The following is a 22,009-nucleotide window of genomic DNA, read 5'->3' as shown; positions in this document are numbered from 1 at the left end:
GGCATGCACCACCACGTCTGGTTAATTTTGTATTTTTTTAGTAGAGACAAGGTTTCTCCGTGTTGGTCAGGCTGGTCTTGAACTCCCGACCTCAGGTGATCCGCCCTCCCCGGCCTCCCAAAGTGCTAGATGACAGGCGTGAGCCACCGCGCCTGGCAATCTTCTCTGTTATAAGAGGGACTGCTTCTGCTTATTCAGAGGGACCTGGGCATTTAGCTTCATCCAAGTCCAACGCAAGTCTTAGAATCCCGCTTGCTCCCAGTGCCCTGATTGTCACATAAATGACTTGATGAGTCTCTAAATTTAATTTCCATTTTAATTCTGCAACCCACCTAGTTATATTTTTAATAATGTTGATCTTATAGCTATAAGAAATCAGAAACTTTTTTCAAAGTTGCTATAGAAGTTCTCTGTCTCAATTTGACTTGAACTTAGACTTCAAAGTCTTCAATTTGTCACTTTCTGCCTGTAAGGTTTCCAGTGCATAGATGTCATCCCACTCACAGTCCTTGTTGTCATCTGTACTACCACAATGGTAAAATGCAGCAGCCACTTGATCCCTGAAGGCAACTACTTCAATAGGTATTTTTTCCCAAGAAACCATAGATGATACTTTAATTAATCATGATCCTACTTATGTTATAGATTACCAGAATCTTGTTTTCCATTGGCAAGGAACTAAGCATTTCATTCAAGGCCGGCGACATCTACAAATTAATCTCAGAATTTTTGGAGGAGTGGAGACAATGAATATACTATTTTCATAATTAAGTGGTTCTGAGCTGGCATATAATGAGCAGTCCTCTTTATGTCAGTCCAGTCAGAAAAACAAACAAAAAAAAAGCCATACTAGGTATTTCAATGGAGGAAATTTATTTATTACAGGGAAATTGGTTATACAGGCATTAGAGGGCTGAAAAGCAAAATACAAAGGCTGAAAAACCAAAAGTCATCTAGAAATAATAACTTCAGAAAGCAGCTACCACCTCTAGGGCTGGAGGAACAAAAGGAAAAATATGAAGTAACCAGAACTTAGAAGCCCAGAATTGCAACCACAATCTTTGTGGAAGGTAGAACCATCTGGCTGCTGTGGATAATCTCTGAGCGGGTACAGGGGGAATCACTGAGGCTGATTCCAGTAGTGCTGAAAGAAGCTGAAGTGGCACTGCCACTGCTGGGAGAAGTGTCTCTAGGTGAAGAAGCATTGCTGGTCCTGTAAGCAACATTAACAAGAACAGAAAAAACAGGAAGCATATTCTCTCCTTCTGCCTCCCAGTCTCTCTCTAGTGACCCCTATTGGCAGAACTGAACAGGAAGCAAGCTTAAAAAGAAGTCTGAGAAACAGTTTGAGGACAACTAGCCCCATCATTACAGGGAAGAAGAGTACAGAAGGTAGATTTAGAGGTGAGGGGCAATAAGTAAATGACTCGCACAGATGGTGTTCATGCTCAATGTTTCTCTTCTGAACAATTTTCAGATTTGGTGTTAAAGCACCTTCTGGCCAGGCGTGGTGGTTTATGCCTGTAATCCCATCACTTCGAGAGGCGGAGTCGGGTGGGGATTGCTTGAGGCCAGGAGTTCAAGACTACCCTAGGCAACATAGTGAGATGCTCGTCTCTATTAAAAAAAAAAAAAAGAAAAAAAAAGGGGACCCAAGGCCATATATCTGTTTCATTCCTAGAAACTCTCCACAGTGTCAGATGAAGACTGCAAATCCAGTGGTCCTACATTCACAGATAATTCCTAGCCTAGTAAAAACAGAGAGAAACAGAAATAAACAACAATATTAGTTTGAGTAGCTGGAGAGGATCACAGGAGTAATAATTCTTTGCCCTCCTCTCAACCCCAGAAATTAAAAGAATAATTGTAGTATTTTCATAAATAAGAAGTAGTTTGCTAGTCACTGACTTATATCATAAACGTTAGACACTATAATTCTCAATGTGCCTCAGTTACCACATCTGAAAAAAAATGATGATAATAATATCTACCTCACACCAATCTCTTCAGAAATCTTACAGGGAGACATTACTGTGGATTACATCAAGTTGGCAGGCTAAGTGTCTGTTAAAGATTAGCATAAACCTGATGTCAAAGCTGGAGGACAATAGACCATGAAAACAAAAGAAGAAATCTCTGGCAAGTCTCAATTACAAATATGAATTTTAAAATTATAAATATGTATTACCTAATTAAATCTAACATTATAATATTTTTAAAAATCAATTCATCATGACCCAGTAGGATTTATTCTAAGAACGTCAGGATGCCTCAACATTGGGAAATGTATAATGTAATTAATTACATAAACTCAGATTGAAGGAGAAAATCATGTGTTCATCTTGGTAAATGCTAAAAACAGCATTGTAAAGATTAAATACTTATTTCTAAATTTAAAAAGAGAAACTCCTTAACGAAGAATTATTAGAAGCCTACCTAAAATATCATGCTTTCATGATGAAACACTGGAAGTATTCTTACTAAAGTCAGGAACAAGACAAGGATACCTGCTGTGTCATCTCCAAGTTTAGACTATAAGTTGTAGACAATGAGATTTGATAAGAAAAGTAATTAAGAGGTACCAACATGAGAAAGGGAAATATTATTTACAGCTGAAATTTTAGAACTAATAAGATATTTAGTAAAGAATGGGCAAATACAAGATCAACACACAAATTTGTGGAAATATACAACCCTCCTAGATTCAATCAGGAAGAAATAGAAACCTGGAACAGACCAATAACAAGCAGTAACAATGAATCAGTAATTTTTAAAAATTGCAACAAAAATAAGTCCAGGACCAGATGGATTCACAATTGAATTCTATCAGACATTCAAAGAAGAATTGGTACCAATCCTACTGAAACTATTCCAAAAGTGGAGAAAAAGGGAATCCTCCCTAAGTCATTCTGTGAAGCCAGTATCATCCAAATACCAAAACCAGGAGACGACTTAACAAAAGAAAACTACAGACCAGTATCCCTGATAGACATAGATGCAAAAATCCTAAAAAACAAAAACAAAAAACTAGCTAACTAAATCCAATCACATATCAAAAGATAATACATCATGATCAAGTGGGTTTCATACCAGAGATGCAGGAATGATTTAATGTATACAAGTCAGTAAATGTGATATACTACAGAAACAGAATTAAAAACAAAAAAGCAGAAAAAGCATTTTAGAAAATCCAGTATCACTTTATGATAAAAACTCTCAACATAGAAGGGACATAACTCAAAGCAATAAAAGCCATAGACGACAAACTCACACTGAACATAATACTGAATGGGGAAAAGTTGAAAGCATTCCCCCGAGAACTGGAACAAGACAAAGATGCCATTTTCACTGCTTCTATTCAACATACTACTGGAAGGCCTGGCTAAAGAAATCAGACAAGAGAAAGAAATAAAGGGCATCCAAATAGAAATACAGGAAATCAAACTGTTGCTGTTCACTGACAGTATGATCATATAACTAGAAAACCCTAAAGACTCATCCAAAAATCTCCTAGATCTGATAAACGAATTCAGTACACTCTTTGGATACAAAATCAATGTACACAAATCAGTAGCACTGCTATACACCAACAACCAAGCTGAGAATCAAATCAAGAACTCAATCCCTGTTACAACAGCTGCAAAATACAATACAATACTCAGGAATATACTTAACCAAGGAGGTGAAAGATCTGTACAAGGAAAACTATAAAACATTGCTGAAGGAAGTCATAGATAACACAAACAAATGGAAACACATGCCATACTCATGAATGAGTAGAATCAATATTGTGAAAATGACCATACTGCCTAAGGCAATTTACAGATTCAATGCAATTCCCACCAAAATGCCATCATCATTCTTCACAAAACTAGAAAAAACAATTCTTAAATTCATATGGCACCAAAAAAGAGCCCATACAGGCAAAGCAATACTAAGCAAAAAGAACAAATCTGGAGGCATCACACTGCCTGACTTCAAATTATACTATGAGACTACAGTTACCAAAACAGCATGTTACTGGTATAAAAATAGGCATGTAGACCAATGGAACAGAACAGAGAATCCAAAAATAAGACCAAATGCTTACAGCCAACTGATCTTTGACAAAGCATACAAAAACACAAACTGGGGAAAGGATACTCTATTCAATAAATGGAGCTGGGGAAACTGGCAAGCCACCTATAGAGAATGAAACTGGATCCTCATCTCTCAGCTTACACAAAAATCAATTCAAGATGGATCAAAGACTTAAATCTAAGATCTGAATAAAAATTCTAGAGGATAACATCAGAAAAACCCTTCTAGACATTGGCTTAGGCAAGGAATTCATGACTAAGAACCCAAAAGCAAATGCAACAAAACAAGAATAAATAAATGGGACCTAATTAAACAAAGAGCTTCTGCATAGCAAAAGAAATAATCAACATAGTAAGCAGACAACTCACAGAGTGGGAGAAAATATTTGCAAACTATGCATCCAACAAAGGACTAATAACCAGAATCTATAAGGAACTCAAACAAAGAAAAAAAAATAAGCCTATTGAAAAATGGGCAAGGAACACGAATAGAAAATTCTCAAAAGAGGATATACAGGCTGGGCGTGGTAGCCTGTAATCCCAGCACTTTTGGAGGCTGAGGTAGGTGAGTCACTTTGAGCTCAGGAGTTCAAGACCAGCCTGGGCAACAAGGTGAAAACCTATCTGTACAAAAATTAGCCAGGTATGGTGGCTCATACGTGTAGTCCCAACTACTCAGGAGGCTGAGGCTAGAGGATCACTTGAGCCCAGAAAGCAGAGGTTGCACTGAGCTGAGATCACACCACTGCACTCCAGCTTGAGTAACAGAGCAAAACCCTGTCTCAAAAAAAAAAAAAAAGGAGGCAATAAACATATGAGAAAATGTTCAACATCACTAATTATCAGGAAAACACAAATTAAAACCACAATGAGATACCACTTTAATCCTGCAAGAATGGGCATAATTTAAAAGTTAAAAATCAATAGATGTTGGTGTGGGTATGGTCAAAAGGGAACACTTTTACACTGCTGGTGGTAATGTAAACTCGTACAACCATTAAGGAAAACAGTATGGAGATTCCTTAAAGAACTAAAAATAGAACTACCATTCAATCCAGCAATCCCACTACTGGGTATCTACCCAAAGGAAAACAAGTCATTATATGAAAAAGACACATGTACACACATTTATAGCAGCACAACTCGCAACTGCAAAAATGTGGAACCAACCTAAGTACCCATCAACCAACCAGTGGATAAAGAAATATGGTGTATATATACACCATGGAATACTACTCAACCATAAAAAAAAAATGAAATAATGTCTTTTGTAGCAACTCAGATGAAGCTGGAGGCCATTATTCTAAGGTAGGTAACTCAGGAATGGAAAACTAAATATCACATGTTCTCACTTATAAGTGGGGAGGAGCTAAGCTAGGAGGATACAAAGGCATAAGAATGAATTAACAGAATTTTGAGACTTGGGGTGGGGGAAGGGTGGGAGGGAGATAAAAGACTACATATTTGTTACAATGTACACTGCTCAGGTGGCAGATGCACCAAATCCCAGAAATCACCACTAAAGAACTTGTCCTGTACTCCAAAAACTATTTAAATGTTTTAAAATTAAAACTTTTAAAAAAAGATCAACACACAAAATTCAGTAACTAGGGACTTTCATCTGCCCATACTGGCAGAGTACCTTGGTTATACTAACCCTCATTTAGATAACAATAATAAAATCTGGAAAAAAAATTAAAATTACTTAAAGGCACTGGAGGCTGGGTGTGGTGGCTCACACCTGTAATCCCAGCACTTTGGGAGTCTGAGGGGGGCAGATCACCTGAGGTCAGGAGTTCAAGATCAACATGGTGAAACACTGTCTCTACTAAAAACACAAAAAATTAGCCGAGCATGGTGATGCATGCCTGTAATCCCAGCTACTCGGGAGACTGAGGCATGAGAATTGCTTGAACCCAGAAGGCAGGGTTACAGTGAGCCAAGATCATGCCACTATACTCCAAACTAGGCGACGGAGCGAGACTTCATCTCAAAAATTAATAATAAAATAAAATAAAGTGCCTGACAGATAAGTAAGTGCTTAATAAGGCAACAAGGGGAATTGCTTACGGCCAGGAGTTGGAGACCAGCCTGGGCAACATAGCAAGACCCTATCACTATGAAAAATAAAAACGTAGCCAGGCCTGGTAGTGTATGCCCATAGTCCTAGCTACTTGGGGGACTGAGGCAGATGGATCCCTTGAGCCCAAGACTTTGAGGCTGCAGCGAACTATGCACTCTAGCCTGGGTGATAAAGATAGACCCTGTCTCAAACCACACACACAAACACAAAACATGACACCTCCAAAGGAACACAATAATTCTCTGATAACAGATCTGAAAGAAAAGGAAATTTATGAAATGCTTGAAAAGAACAGAGAAACTCAGTGAGTTACAAAAGAACACAGGTAAAAAATAGAAATCAAAGAAACAATTTATGATCTGAATGAAAAATTCAACAATGCAATAGATATCATTTAATAAAAAACAAACAGGTGGCCGGGTGCGGTGGCTCACGCCAAAGTAATCCCAGCACTTTGGCAGGCCGAGGCGGACGGATCACGAGGTCAGGAGATCAAGACCACCCTGGCTAACATGGTGAAACCCCGTCTCTACTAAAAAATACAAAAAAATTAGCCAGGTGTGGTGGCGGGCGCCTGTAGTCCCAGCTACTCAGGAGGCTGAGGCAGGAGAATGGCATGAACCCGGGAGACGGAGCTTGCAGTGAGCCGAGATCGCGCCACTGCACTCCAGCCTGGGCGACAGAGCGAGACTCCGTCTCAAAAAAAAAGAAAAAAGAAAAAACAAACAGAAATCCTGGAACTGAAGAATTTGATGAATAAAATAAAAAATACTATAGACAACTTCAACAATAGACTAGATTAGGCGTAAGAAATAATTTCTGGCTGGGCACATTGGCTCATGCCTGTAGTCCTAACACTTTGGGAGACCGAGGTGAGCAGATCACTTGAGGTAAGGAATTCGAGACCAGCTGGGCCAACATGGTGAAACCATGTCTCTACTAAAAATACAAAAATTAGCTGGGCGTGGTGGCACACACCTGTAGTCCCAGCTACTCAGGAGGCTGAGGCAGGAGAATCACTTGAACCCAGGAGGCGGGGGTTGCAGTGAGCTGAGATTGCACCACTGCACTCTAGCCTGGGTGATAAAGTAAGACTCCATCTCAGAAAAAAAGAAAGGAAGGAAGGAAGGAAAGAGAGAAAGAGAGAGAAAGAAAGAAAGAACGAAAGAAAGAGGAAGGGGAGGGGTAAGGGGAAGGGGAAGGGGAGGGAATTTCTGAACTTGAAGACAACTCGGAAAAAAAAAATGAAGAAAGCCTACATAACATATAGAACACCACAAAGTGACCAAATGTTCAAATTCTGGGAGTTTCAGAAGGAAGAGAAACGAGCAAAGGCATAGGAAATCTATTTAACAAAATAATAGCTGACAACTTCCCAAGTCTGGCAAGAGATTTAGACATCCCAGATACAGCTCAGAGATCCTCAAATAGATTCAACCCAAAAAGGTCTTCTTCAAGACATATTATAGTCAAACTATCAAAAGTCAAAGACAAAGAGAATTCTAAAAAGAGCAAGATAAAAGCATCAAGTCATGTATACGGGAATCCCCATCAGACAAACAGCAGATTTCTCAGCAGAAACTTTACAGGCCAGAAGAGAATACAATGGTATGTTTAAAGTGCTGAGAGAAAAACACTACCAGCCAAAAATACTAAACCTAGCAAAGATATCCTTCGAAAATGAAGAGAAATAAAATGCCAGACAAGCAAAAACTGAGGGAATTCATCACCACTAGACTGGTCCTACAAGACAGGCTTAAGTCAGTCCTATATCTGAAAGCAAAAGGACAATATTTGCCAACAAGCAAACCCATGCAAATGTAAAACTGGTACAGTAGATATATAAATAAGAAAGAGAAAGAAGTCAAACATTACTGCTACAGAAATCCACTAAACCTCAATGGTAAACAGTAAAAGAGGAAGAAAGGGACCAAGGATATACAGACAAGCAGAAAACAACAAAATGACAGAAATAAGTTCTCACATATCAATAATAACTTTTGTTTTTTGTTTGTTTGTTTGTTTGTTTGTTTTTAGACAATCTCACTCTGTTGCCCAGGCTGGAGTGCAGCAGCCTGTTCTCGGCTCACTGCAACCTCTGCCTCCCAGGCTCAAGCAATCCTCCCGCCTCAGCCACCTGGGTAGCTGGGACTACAGGCACACACCACCATGCCTGGCTAATTTTTGTATTTTTTGTAGAGATGAGGTTTTGCTAAGACATCCAGGCTGGTCTCAAACTCGTGGACTCAAGCAATCTTCCCACCTCAGATAAAGAATAATGTTATCTCCATTATCTGGCAAAAGGCATTACTAAATTGGATGCCCAATTAAAAAAAGAAATGTTGATGAAAGTGAACAAATAAAATGGAATAGGGAGTTTCCTACCACTCATTGATTGTTATGGTACCAGTTGAATTAATATATTACATTAACAGTTGCATTACATCAAAAAAACTATATGATTATCTCAACAGATGTAGATAAGTATTTGATCCCCTCACAATAAAAACTCTCAACAAATTAGGCACAGGAGGAACATACCAAAACATACTAAAGGCCATATATGACAAACCCACAGCTAATCTACTCAATGAGAAAAGCTGAAAGCCTTTCCTCTAGGAACTAGAAGACAAAAATTCTCACTTTCACCACACTTATTCAACATAGTACCGGAAGTCCTACCCAAGCAATCATGCAAAAGAGAGAAATAAAAGGCATCCAAATTGAAAAAGAGGAAGTGTGGCCAGGACCATGGCTCACACCTATAATCCCAACACTTTGGGAGGCCAAGGTGGGCAGATCAGCCGAAGTCAGGAGTTCGAGACCAGCCTGGCCAACATGGCAAAACCCCGTCTCTACTAAAAATACAAAAATTAGCCAGGTGTGGTGGCATGTGCCTGTAATCCCAGCTACTCAGGAGGCTGAGGCAGTAGAATCACTTGAACCTGGGAGGCAGAGGTTGCAGTGAGCAGAGATCGCGCCATTGCACTCCAGGCTGGGCAACAAGAGTGAAACTCTCTCTCAGGAAAAAAAAAAAAAAAAGTAAAAGAGGAAGTCAAATTGTCCTTCTTTGTAGACAACATGATCTTATATATAGAAAAACCTAAAGATGCCACCAAAAAACTTTTAGGACCAATAAATGAAATCAGTAAAGTTGCAGAATACAAAATCAACATACAAACATCAGTAGCATTTTTATATACCAATAACAAACTAGCTGAAAAACAAATCAATAAAATAATCCCATTTACAATAGCTACAAACAAAATGCCTAGGCATAAATTTAGCCAAGGAAGTGAAAGACCTCTACAAGGGAATCTATAAATCACCAATGAAAGAAATTGAAAAGGACACAAAAAAATGGAAAGACATCTCATCCTTATGAATTGGAAGGATTAATATTGTTAAAATGGCCATACTACTCAAAGCAATTTACAGATTCAATGCAAGCCCTACAAAAATACCAATTACATTCTTTACAGAAATAGAAAAAAAAAATCCTGGGCTGGGCGCGGTGGCTCATGCCTATAATCCCAGCACTTTGAGAGGCTGAGGCAGGTGGATCACAAGGTCAAGAGATAGAGACCATCCTGGGCAACATGGTAAAACCCCATTTCTACTAAAAATACAAAAATTAGCCGGGCGTGATGGCAGGTGCCTGTAGTCCCAGCTACTCAGGAGGCTGAGGCAGGAAAATCACTTGAACCTAGGAGGCAGAGATTGCAGCGAGCCAAGATTGCACCACTGCACTCCAGCCTGGTGACAGAGCGAGACTCTGTCTCAAAAAAAAAAAAAAAAAAAAATCCTAAAATGCGTATGGAACCAAAAGAGATCCTGAATAGACAAAGCAATCCTAAGCAAGAAGAACAAAGCTGGAGGCATCATACATACAAAAATCAATTCAAAATGAATTAAAAACATAAACTTAAGACCCAAAATTATAAAAAATACTAGAAGATAATATAGAGGAAATGCTTCAGGAACATTAGTCCAGGCAAAGATTTATGGCTAAAACTTCAAAAACACAGGCAACAAAAACCAAAATAGACAAATAGAAAATATTAAACTTCAACAAAGGACTAGCATCTAGAATATGTAAAGAATTCTCACGCCTATAATCCCGGCACTTTAGGAGGCCAAAAAGGGAGGACTGCTTGAGACCAGAAGTTCGAGACCAGCCTGGGCAACATAGTGAGACTCTGTCTCTAAAAAAATACAAAATTAGCCAGGCATCCTAGCTACTTGGGAGGCCGAAGCCACAGGATCATTTGATCCCAGGAGTTTAAGGTTCCAGTAAGCTATTATTGCACCACTGTACACCGGCCTGGGTGGCAGAGCACGATCCTGTGCCCCCACCAAAACAAAAAAAAATCCTAAAACACAACAGTAAAAAAAAAAAAAAATCCAATCAGAAAATAAACAAAAAGACATGAAGAGACATTTTATCAATTAAGATATACAGATGGCAAATAACACATTAAGAGATGTTCAAACATATTAGCCATGGGAAAAACGCAAATTAATACTACAGTGAGATATCACTATGCACCTATTAGGATGGCTAAAACATAAATCGTAACAATGCCAAATATTGGCAAGAATGTGGAAACACCTGATCATTCATACATAGCTAATGGAAATGTAAAATGGTACAGCCAAACTGGAAAATAGTTTTTCAATTTTTTAAAAAGTTAGACATGCAATTACCATCCATTATACCATGCATATAATTGCACTCTTAGGCCTATATCCTGGAAAATGAAAACTCATGTTCACACAAAACCTGTACCCAAAAGTTTATAGCACCTTTATTCATAATAGCCAAAAATTGGAAATAACCAAGATGTCCTTCAACATGTAACGGGTTAAACAAATTGTGGTATACCCATACCATGGAATACTGATCAGCAATAAAAAGGAATGAACTATTGTTATACTATCTGGGTGAATCTCCAAAGAATTATGCTAAGTGAAAAAACTTCAATCTCATAAAGTTATCTAATAATGTATGATTCCATTTATATAACACTCTCTGTCGCCCAGGTTGCAATGCAATGGCATGATCTCAGCTCACTGCAACCTCTGCCTCCAGGGTTCAAGCAATTCTCCACCCTCAGCCTCCTGAGTAGCTGGGACTACAGGCGCTGGCTAATTTTTTATATTTTAGTAGAGATGGGGGTTTCACCATGTTGCCCAGGCTGGTCTCAAACTCCTGAGCTCACGCAATCCGCCTGCCTCGGCCTCCCAATGTACTGGGAATACAGGCATGAGCCACTGTACCTGGCCTATATAACATTCTTGAAATGGCAAAACTACAGAAACAGAGAACAGATTAGTGGTTGCCAGGGGTTAAGTGGGAGTGGCAGAGAAATGAGTGTAACTATAAATGGACAACACCAGAGATTCTTGAGGTGATGGAAATTCTCTTTATCTTGATTGTATCAATGTCAACATCCTTGTTGTGATATTGTACTGGAGTTGTGTAAGACTTTACTACTGGGGAAAAGTGAGTAAAGGGTACATGAGATCTCTCTGTATTATTTCTCCCAACTGCATGTGAATCCACAGTTATCTCAAAATAAACTTTAAATTTTTTTAATCTAAGAGGTAAAAAAGAACTGTAAAAAGTAAGAGCAATTTTGGGAGTGGAAAGTAGGAAGGGAGTCAAAACAAGAATGGCAGAATGTTGATCATTGTTGAAACTTTGGGGTGGGTACGTGGCAGTTCATAACTATTCTGTTTACTTTGTATATATTTGAAATCTTCCATAATAAAAGAAAAATTAAATTATCAGGTAGGATACAGAAAAAATATTAATAATAAATAACTTCTCTCATCAATAATTAAGTATTAGAAAATAGAATTTTACAACTGTATTCATGATAAAAACCATAACTATAAAATAACAGAGAATTAACTTTGTAATAAACTCAGATAAAGAAAATTACACAAATATACTGAAAATCCTAAAAAAAAAAAAAAGACAAAAGCAGACCTAAATGGTGGCCTAAATAAATGGAAAAACACATGATGATCCAGACTGAAAAGACTCACTACTATAAAAATGCCAACTCTCCTACATTTAATCTATAATTCCTAACCAAAATCCCAGTGTTATTATTTATAGAGTCTAAAAAGCTCATTCTAATGTTACTACTGAAGAAAAAATGCACAAGATTTTGCCCTGCAATTCTGGGGGGAAAAAAAGAATGAGGGAAAACATTGTATATCAGATATCAAGATAGATTATGCAGTTGCAGAAAATAGTAAAAATTAAATAATGCAATATTAATACTGAATTAGGCAAATGGCTCTGTCTAGAAACAGAATCAAGAATTACAAATGTTTGATATTTTTGAAAGATGGCATTTCAAATTACTGGGATTAAAATGAACTAATTAGCACATTTGAAGCAACTGGCTAAACATTTGGTAAAATAATAAAATAGGTTCCTTTCTCACAGCTATTCAGAATGCACCTCACAAGGATTAAAGAGCACCTGATGCTTTTAAAAATAGCAGAAATATAAGGACACTATTTTATAATCTTAGGGTAGGGGTAGTTGAAGAGTGTCCTTCTTAAGAAGACACAAATCCCAAAAGTCATAAATGTGTGAGGCAAAGTAGCAAACATCTGCCTCTGGCTAGCCACACCGTCTGCCCTTGCTGTGAAGAACCACGTTTGCTCATTCTGCTTGTCAGCATAAACCTCCCAAACCCCTGACTCAGTGACTGAGCTCAGCTCTCTGTAAAAATGCTTGAAGACCATAAGCAGGATAGAGCACAGTTTCCCATGTCTGAATCACTGCATTTTTGGAAAAGATAAGTTCAATGAGCCGTTGCCTTTTCCTATCCATAAGATAACATCTGACAGGATTAATGAATATACCTCTGTAATCTATAACCAGACGTACTCTCGCTCCTGGACTTTGATGAGATTTTGCTCTAATGTAACCTCTGAGCACCTTTAGGTAACTTCCGAGCACATGCAGAACCTCCACCGCCTGTATAGAAGCGAGGGCTGAAACGCTGCTTTGAAGCAGTCTAACAGAGACTCTCTGAAAGACTCTCCCGGGTTGCAGTGCTCAGTAAGACTCTGAATAAAACTAACATTGTAACTTCTGAGAATTAACTAACGTTAATTCTTTAAAAGCCTGACTTTTTAAAAATTATTTAAAAGCCTGACAAATGAAAAGACTGATTTCATAATTTTATTTATTTTTTTTGAGACAGGGTCTTGCTCTGTCACCCAAGCTGGAGTGCAGTGGTGCCATCATGGCTCACAGCAGTCTCAACTTCCTGGGCTCAAGCAACCCTCCCCCCTCAGCCTCCCAAGCAGCTGAGACTATGGGTGTGCACCACCACACCAGACTTGATTTCATAAATATTAAAAACTTTTTCTTCAGCAAGAAAAAAGATAACAATGTAACAGCAAGGTGGGAAACATACCTAACCCAGTATTCATAATCAAAATATTTTAAGAGATTTTACAATCAATAAGACACAGACCAGCCTGGGCAACTTAGTGAGACCTCGTTTCTACAGAAAAATGGAAGTAATAAATAAATAAAAATCAGCCAGACATGGTGGCATGCGCCTGTAATCCCAGCTACTTGGGAGGCTGAGGCAAGAGGATCACTGGAGCCCAGGAGATTGAGGTTGTAGTTAGTCATGACTGCACCACTGCACTCCAGCCTGGGTGACAGAGTGAGACCCTGTCAAGAAAGAAAGAAGGAAGGAAGGAAGGAAGGAAGGAAGGAAGGAAGGAAGGAAGGAAGGAAGGAAGGAAGTGGGGAGGGAAAGAAAGGAGAAGGAAAGGAAAGGAAAGGAAAGGAAAGGAAAGGAAAGGAAAGGAAAGGAAAGGAAAGCAAAGGAAAAGGAAAGGAAAGGAAAGGAAAAGGAAAGGAAAGGAAAGGAAAGAGAAAAAGAGAGAAGGAAAGAAACAAAAAAGAAGGAAAGAAAGAAAGAGAGAAAAGGGAGAGAAAGAAAGAATGAAAGAGAAACAGAAACAGAAACTCACCCCACAGGGAAAATGGGAAAGCCTCTGAACAGGCAGTTCACAGAAGAATAAATGTAAATGGTTGATAAACTTACAAAAAGATGCTCAACCTCATTAGTAGTTAAGAAAATTAAAATGAGTTTTTAATCTTCATGGCAAAATTTAGAAAGACTGATACTATACAAAGCAACGTTGACCATAGGAGAAAGATACTGTTGTGTACTATTTATGGAAGTGTACATTGGTAAGGCTTTCTGGGGTACAATTTAATACATATCCTTTCAGCCTGAAAGTTTAAGCCATGTTAGAAATCTAACCTACAGAAGTACACACATAGATGTGCAAAGATGATGTATATACAGGACATTCATTGTAGCATTGTTTCTAATGTTGAAAAATTAGAAACAACTCAAGAATCTTTTCATAAGGGAATGATTAAATAAATCAACTGGGAAACTATGCACCTATTAAAAAGAAAGATTTACATGCTGACATGAAAATTTCTTCAAGGCATATTGATAAGGCCAAAATATTATAAATATTTTATAAATTGTGGAATAATTTATAAAATATATCAGTCATATACACTAATATATATACATATACATCTGGATATATAAAAAACAATTAACTGTGGTTACCTTTGGTTAGTGAGGAGAATGGGATGGGAGGACACAAAATGAGAACTTTTTTGTGGTATGCTCAATTCTGCAAGTAATAAAAATATCACAATAAGAATGATTTCTTGTGAAATGTTTGTAATTACAGTTTTTTGTTATAGACTACATACTACATAGGAGGCACGCAAAGCCCCGAAGTAATGATACTGCATAAATCCAAGGCACTGATATTATCGTACTCATTATTATTGTCAGCGTTCTTATCCTCCACAGCTATCAACACTGATATGCCTTTCATCAGAGAAATTTAAACAAGATTTACAAATAGAAGTTCATTTAATCACAGAGCACACCTTTGAGGCAAGGCTATAATTCCAAAATACAGACATAATAAATGACTTGCTTAGAGTCTCAAACAAGTCAGGAAATGATCCAGAGCCAGGATTCCACTCTCGTACAAATAAATATATATACTGGCTCTCAGCACAGTGCTATAAATAACCCCATCTGCTGGCATTTCAGTTTCTCCCCAAGTAATTGAGTGTTTAAATGACCTGTAAACCTTCACTTTGGCTTTAAAAATTGTCTATATCTAGCATTCTTTTTAAAGGGATGGCTTTTAAAAGTTTAACATCAACCTTCCCGAGAAAGTTAAGGGAGTAAGATTAATTTTCACCTTCTGTAAGAGGGCAACTCTGGAAGAACATACTATTTTTCCAAATGACAGTTCTGACTATATTATTTAGCCCAAGATCAATAACTTAGCAGAAGTACTTTGTAACTGCATTATCCCAATCCTGAAAACTTTCTTAAGAAAAGGAAGTATAAAAGACACTGATCTGAATCAGGAAAACTGATCCAAGCACTGTCTATTCCAAAAACTGTATGTTGCATATAGTTTTGCATAAACCCATCAACTTCTCTAAACCTGAGATTCCTCATTCCTTGTAAATAGGGATAAGAATACCTCCCTGCTTAATTAAATAAGTTGTCTCAAGTTTCAAATGAGAGAGAGATTGTGAAGGTACTCTGTATGTTCCAGACAAATGATTATTAATGGACCAGGTGCAGTGGCTCACACCTGTAATCCCAGTACTTTGGGAGGCCAAGGTGAGCAGATCACTTGAGCTCAGGAGTTTGAGCCCAGCCTGGGCAACACGGTGAAACCCCATCTTTACCAAAAATACAAAAAAAAAGCTGGGAGTGGGGGTGGGCACCTGTAGTCCCAGCTACCAGGGAGGCTGAGGTGGGAGAATCACTGGAGCCCAGGAGGCGGAGGTGGCAGTGAGCCAAGATTGTGCCACTGCACTTCAGCCTGGGCGACAGAGTGAGACCCCATCTCAAAAAAATTATTTTAATTAAATTATTATTATTTGAAACTTGGGTTCTCAATACAAGTAAACCTGTCCTTCTCCCCGAAAATATGAGAAAGTGTCTGATTTGTAATATTCAAGCCTCTCAATTTGGGGCCCAATAATTAGTTTATTTTCTAGACCAATAGTTTCAACTACAGGGTTTAGAAAAGGAGTATATGACATTTATTTGTGAGGTGTGTCATGATTTCATGATTTAAAGTAACAAAGTAATTAGCCTTTTATAAATCAAAGAGAATTACACTAGAGATGTTGCAATATCTGCCACAGTTCTTTTCTGAGTGAACTGCCCTCCTTCACCTTCTGCTGTACCTGCTGTACACACCAATCCTGACTTTTTCTTTTTTTTGAGACGGAGTCTCACTCTGTTGCCCAGGCTGGAGTGCAATGGTTCAATCTCAGCTCACTGCAACCTCTGCCTCCTGGGTTCAAGTGATTCACCTGTCTCAGCCTCCTGAGTAGCTGGGACTACAGGCGTGCACCACCACACCCAGCTAATTTTTGTATTTTTAGTAGAGACGGGGTTTCACTATGTTGGCCAGGCTGGTGTCAAACTCCTGACCTCAGGTGATCTGCCTGCCTCGGCCTCCCATAGTGCTGGGATTACAGGCATGAACCACTGCGCCTGGCCTTTTTTTTTTTTTTTTGAGACAGTCTCGCTCTGTCACCCAGGCTGGAGTGCAACAGTGTGATCTCAGCTCATTGCAACCTCCACTTCCTGGGTTCAAGCAATTCTCCTGCTTCAGCTTCCGGAGCAGCTGGGATTATAGGCTTGCACCCCATCATGCCCAGTTAATTTTTGTATATTCCTGCTCTTTTTTTTAACCACAACCAGATCTGGATTAAAAGGTAAGCAGTTGGGGCGTTGCCCAAATCATTTATCTGAAAGGGGCACTGAAATATCACTGGAATAATCAGTAACTATAGAGCCAATTAACATTTGCATAGGCAAATTCTTACACAAGTAGAGGAATATAAATTTTTTCCTGCTTCAGGGAAGTGGAAACTAAAAACAGTAGTATTAATCTTTCAATCTAAATAACAGAGGGAGGCTCTCTAGAAGAAAACGATGTTTATTTGGGAATACAGCATTCCAGTGGGAATATGTGTGCCATAGTAAACTATGTGCACATTCAGGGAGGTAAGGGAAGACAAAGGTTTTTAAAGGAAAAAATGTGGAGGATTATAATAATTATTTTGAGATAATTATCTTTGGCTACAAAGATCAGTAACAAGGGTGACAGCAGCCCAAGACTGCACAGGGAGTTGCTGGGGAGATGTCCTTGAAGAACTATTTTTTGTCTAAGATTTTGACAGCGTTTGTGCAAGGTTGTGGTTTTGCAGTGTTTTGTGACAGTTTTTGTTAGCAGGCATCTGTGCATGAGAATCCTCTTAATGGCCTTCCTGGGTTCTATTTGTCTGGGTTTTTTTGTTTGTTTGTTTTTTTCCCCCACACTAGTGACTCTATCTTGATTCTGACAATTTTCACAAACCTAAGAGTTACTGGATTTGTTTTTGTTGTTGTTTGAGACAGGGTCTTGCTATGTTTCCCAGGCTGGTCTGGAACTCCTGAATGGCATAAAATGTTACAAGGGATTGCATCTGAAGAAGGAGCCAAGAAATGTTTTTTTGTTATTGTCTATAATATTTTTAGTTCTACTTGAATTTTTAAACTCTATGCTTGCATTGCTTGGATAAAAATTAAAATCAAAACAAAACAACAAAAAGAATACCTCAAACTTGGGCCTTTAAGCCAGAACAAGTAAACTACACATCACAAGATCACTAGCTAAGGAGAGGGAGCTCCAGACATTCCTGTCCATAGTTGCCTTACTTCCCACCTAGCACTGTCACTGTGTAACATTGAAAACAAATTTTAAAAGCAAAAACAGTTTTGGGTCAGTGTGGTGGCTGGCTCATGCCTGCCACCCCAGCACTTTGGGAGGCAGAGGCGGACAGATTGCCTGAGCCCATGAGTTTGAGAGCAGCCTGGGCAGCATAGCAAGACCCTGTCTCTGTAAAAAGTAAAAAAGAAAAGCAAAACCAGTTTAATGAAAACCTTAAATGCCCAGTTAAAGAGTTGATCATGCCAAAAAGGGGATAACTTTGAGTAAAAAAATGACTTTAGGCTGGGTACAGTAGCTCATACCTGTAATCCTAACACTTTGGGAGGCTGAGGCAGGAGGATCACTTGAGCCCAGGAGTTCAAGACTACCCTGGGCAACATGACGAGACCTCATCTCTACAAAAAATACAAAAATTAGCCTGGTGTGGTGGTGGTGGTGCGTGCCTGTAGTCCTAGCCACTCGGGAGGCTGAGGTGGGAGGATCACCTGAACCCAGGAGGTTGAGGCTGCAGTGAGCCATGATGGCATCACTGCACTCCAGCCTGAGCAACAGTGAAACCTCATCTCAAAAAAAAAAAAAAAAGACTTTAATGTCTGTATTTTAGATAAAGTGCTTTTCTGTGTGTAGGATAAATTTGATAGAGATTGTCTGGTAGCTAAGAGATTGGTTAAGGAAATTGATAGTAAGCCCAGAGTGATGGCAGAAGAATTGGAGAGAAAAGTTGGTCTTAGAGATTAGAACAATGGAGGACTTTTTCTTGTTATTATTATTTTATGTATTATTTATGCATTTATTATTTTTATAGAGATGGGGTCTTGCTATGGTGCCCTGGTGTCAAACTCCTGGGCTCAGGCAATCCTCCTGCCCTGTCCTCCCAAAGTGCTAGGATTACAGGCATTGGCCACCATGCCTGGCCAAGGACTTCTTGGTGGCTGATCAGGGTCCTTTTTAATGGTAAGGCTCAGCCTCCTTACCTAATACATTACTGTAATATTATTCACAATAGTTTTCTGCCTAATATAAATCAAGTATGCACATAAACACAGTTTGTAGTTCCCACAACCAGCATCACACCTAATCCAGGTTCTGCCACTAATTAGTTCTTGGAACTGGGGCAAGTTATTTACCTCTTTGTGCTTAATTTCCTTATCTGTAAAATAAGGTTAATCAACTGATAAAATTGTTGTGAACAGTAAAAGACTTAATAAATTTACAAGTGTATAGGCCAGGCCTGGTGGCTCATACCCGTAATCCCAGCACTTTGGGAGGCCAATGCGGGTGACTCGTTTGAGGCCAGGAGTTTGAGATCAGCCTAGCTAACATGGCAAAACCCCATCGCTATAAAAAAATACAAAAATTAGCCAGACACGGTGGCATGCACCTGTAGTCCCAGCTACTCAGGAGGCTGAGGTGGAAAGATCATTTGAGCCCGGGAGGTTGAGGTTGCACAGAGCTAAGATCGTGCCACTGCACTCCAGCCTAGGCAACAGAGTGAGACCCTGACTCAAAAAAACAAAAACAAAAACAAAAAAAGCGTATACAATAGCTCCCCGGCCTACATTATGTATTCAATAAATGCTAGCTATGTATTACTGGTCTGAGTTCTACATTGTCTGTATTTTTTCTTATCTGTCCCATCAACATTCTGTAATAATTTGACAAAACGATTACAAAAAAAGTTAAGTTTCATGAACTTTAATTATGAGACACTTCAGATTTGGGGCCCTATATTAATCCATTCTCACACTGCTATAAAGAAATACCGAGACTGGGTAATTTATAAAGGAAAGAGGTTTAATTGACTCAGCTGCACATGCCTGGGCGGCCTCACAAAATTTTCCAATCATGGAGGAAGGGGAAGCAGGCACGTCTTACAGGGCAGGTCTTACATGACGGCAGGTGAGAGAGAGCATGTGAGACCACAGGAAAAACTACCATTTATAAAACCATCAGATCGTGTGAGAATTCACTTAACTATCAGAACAGCATGGGAGAAAACGTCCTCATAATCCAATCACTTTAATCCTTCCATACGTGGGGATTAAAATTCGATATAAGATTTGGGTAGGGACACAGAGTCAAATCATATCAGGACCTAATTCCTAAACTTTAGATGTACTTATTTAAACACTATTCTGCCTAACAGTTTAATATTTTGGGTTTTCCCTCTTCATGAAGATGTAAACAAGATGTGTAAAGATTGGTTTGGGAGCCCATGGCAAGGACAGGAAAATCAAACACATGTTCTCACTCATAGGTGGGAATAGAACAATGAGAACACCTGGACACAGGGTGGGGAACATCACACACCAGGGCCTGTCGTGGGGTGGGGGGAGGGGGGAGGGATAGCCCTAGGAGATATACCTAATGTAAATGACGAGTTAACGAGTGCAGCACACCAACATGGCACATGTATACATATGTAACAAACCTGCAAGTTGTGCACCCTAGAACTTAAAGTATAATAATAAAAAAAATAAAAAATAAAAAAAGATTGGTTTGGGAGCACATATGTAAAAGGTTTTTCTAAAATATGAAACACGAAAATATATTATTCCAATATTATTCTGAAGCCAGACAACTCCCGCAATGACAAAATCCCTTGCTCTTCAAGCGCGACTGTACCCCCTTCCCAAAAACGATTTATGCATTTATGGTTAAAGTTCAAATGAAGCTGATTTAATAGAAATAATTTAAAAATAATAATGAGAATATATGGACAGCTTACTATAGGGTGAGATGATGTTGTAATTGACTTTAAAACATTTGGAACTAAATGTCAGTCCTAGGAAATTATGCACTCCTGTAAATTGTGCTATTAAGGGTTAGGTTTCTTTCAACACTTTAGATATTTGATCAGAAGCATATTTAAGAAAAACGAAAGCTGCCCTTGCTTTTGACCCCAAGTTGAGAATTTTCTATCATTGGTGCAGTGCCTGAAAATACGATCCAATCTTCATTTAGTCATTTGTACGGAGTCTGGAAAGGCTAAAACATTGCAAATAATAGGACCTACTCGTACTTTCCCCGCTTAAGAAGCGTATCTATTTCAAGGTGCCTATTTGGAAAAACAGACTCCAGGTCTCCACCACAGAACTTAACACAAAATGAAAGCACACAACCCGCAGCCTTTGGCTGTGGTGTTTTTGAAAACAAGGAAGGGCACAGAACCATGGCTTAAAATACCCGAAAGCTGCAGCCCACAAAAAGAGTATTTCAGGGCGGGTTGGCCGTTCCCTGCAGGCAAACGTTCGGTGCAGGCGGCCGGGCGTTCCTGCGGGGAGGGCGCCACTGTGATGCAAAGACATCAAGCGGACTTTCAGCTTGCCCGTGGACGCTGCGGTGCCGCTTTCCCTATCCAGTCCTGTTCCCGCGGCTCCCCAGCCTACCCCGGGCCGACCAAGAGGTCCGGCGGGGTCTGCGCCGCATCAGCGCCCGCTCGTCAGGCCTAGCCCTCCGCACAGCCAAGGCCGACCAGACCTCTAGACACTCCGTCGTCGGGTGTGGGGCGGAGAAGTAAAGGGCGAGTTTTCTTCCTAGATTCCAGTGGGAACCAAGAAAAGGAGTTGGCAGCTGTGTAAACTGGACCTGGGGTGCGGCCTCCGGGAACAAAAGAGGTGATAAATGCACAGCAGCCGAGGTTCTGCGTGCTCCTTTGGGGCCACTACGAATCCCCGTGAATCACCCCAGCCCGGGCAGAGGGCCAGAAATGATGAAAATGCAGATTCATGGCTTCCACTCCAGCCCTACAAGATCACCAACCGTATCTGGCAGTACCCAGGAATCTGCATTCTCGACAAGCGTCCGCGCCGACGGGGCTAGTGAAGTTTGAGAACAATTGCTTCCTACCCAGCCGCTCCGCTATCACCTAGGTAGCACGGCCGCTGCGGCTGAGGCTGTGACTGCGGCTGCGGCTGGGCCGCGCCTCAACCGAGCTTGGTCCTTTCCTTTGGTCCCGCCCCGCTGCTCAGCGCGGATTGGTGGCGGGACGCAAATCTGGCGCTGATTG

At 39.6% G+C, this 22,009-nt stretch overlaps 1 long non-coding RNA gene across 1 annotated transcript, besides 3 other annotated features; it reads right to left on the bottom strand.

Moving 5' to 3' along the window:
• Positions 1-852: 852 nt before the first annotated feature.
• ZBED5-AS1 (ZBED5 antisense RNA 1) lies at positions 853-21,912 on the bottom strand. The gene is made up of 3 exons (NR_034137.1): positions 21,763-21,912; positions 14,802-14,868; positions 853-1,748 (listed from the first exon to the last, which is right to left on the bottom strand). It is a non-coding gene; the product is annotated as a ZBED5 antisense RNA 1 (long non-coding RNA).
• Positions 20,604-21,239: an enhancer, noted in NCBI's record as "H3K27ac hESC enhancer chr11:10880437-10881072 (GRCh37/hg19 assembly coordinates)". NCBI's record gives its function as "activates a minimal SCP1, AML or CMV promoter by ChIP-STARR-seq in primed H9 embryonic stem cells {active_cell/tissue: H9 hESC(primed)}" and the evidence as "EXISTENCE:reporter gene assay evidence [ECO:0000049][PMID:30033119]".
• Positions 21,240-21,877: an enhancer, noted in NCBI's record as "H3K27ac hESC enhancer chr11:10879799-10880436 (GRCh37/hg19 assembly coordinates)". NCBI's record gives its function as "activates a minimal SCP1, AML or CMV promoter by ChIP-STARR-seq in primed H9 embryonic stem cells {active_cell/tissue: H9 hESC(primed)}" and the evidence as "EXISTENCE:reporter gene assay evidence [ECO:0000049][PMID:30033119]".
• Positions 21,641-21,730: an enhancer, noted in NCBI's record as "active region_4452". NCBI's record gives its function as "activates an Ori minimal core promoter by ATAC-STARR-seq in GM12878 lymphoblastoid cells {active_cell/tissue: GM12878}" and the evidence as "EXISTENCE:reporter gene assay evidence [ECO:0000049][PMID:35858748]".

This window comes from Homo sapiens, chromosome 11, assembly GCF_000001405.40.
Source record: "Homo sapiens chromosome 11, GRCh38.p14 Primary Assembly".
NCBI classification, from domain to species: Eukaryota; Metazoa; Chordata; class Mammalia; order Primates; family Hominidae; genus Homo; species Homo sapiens.
Note: the sequence above shows the minus strand (reverse complement) of the source record. Positions and strands in the feature narration are given on the sequence as shown.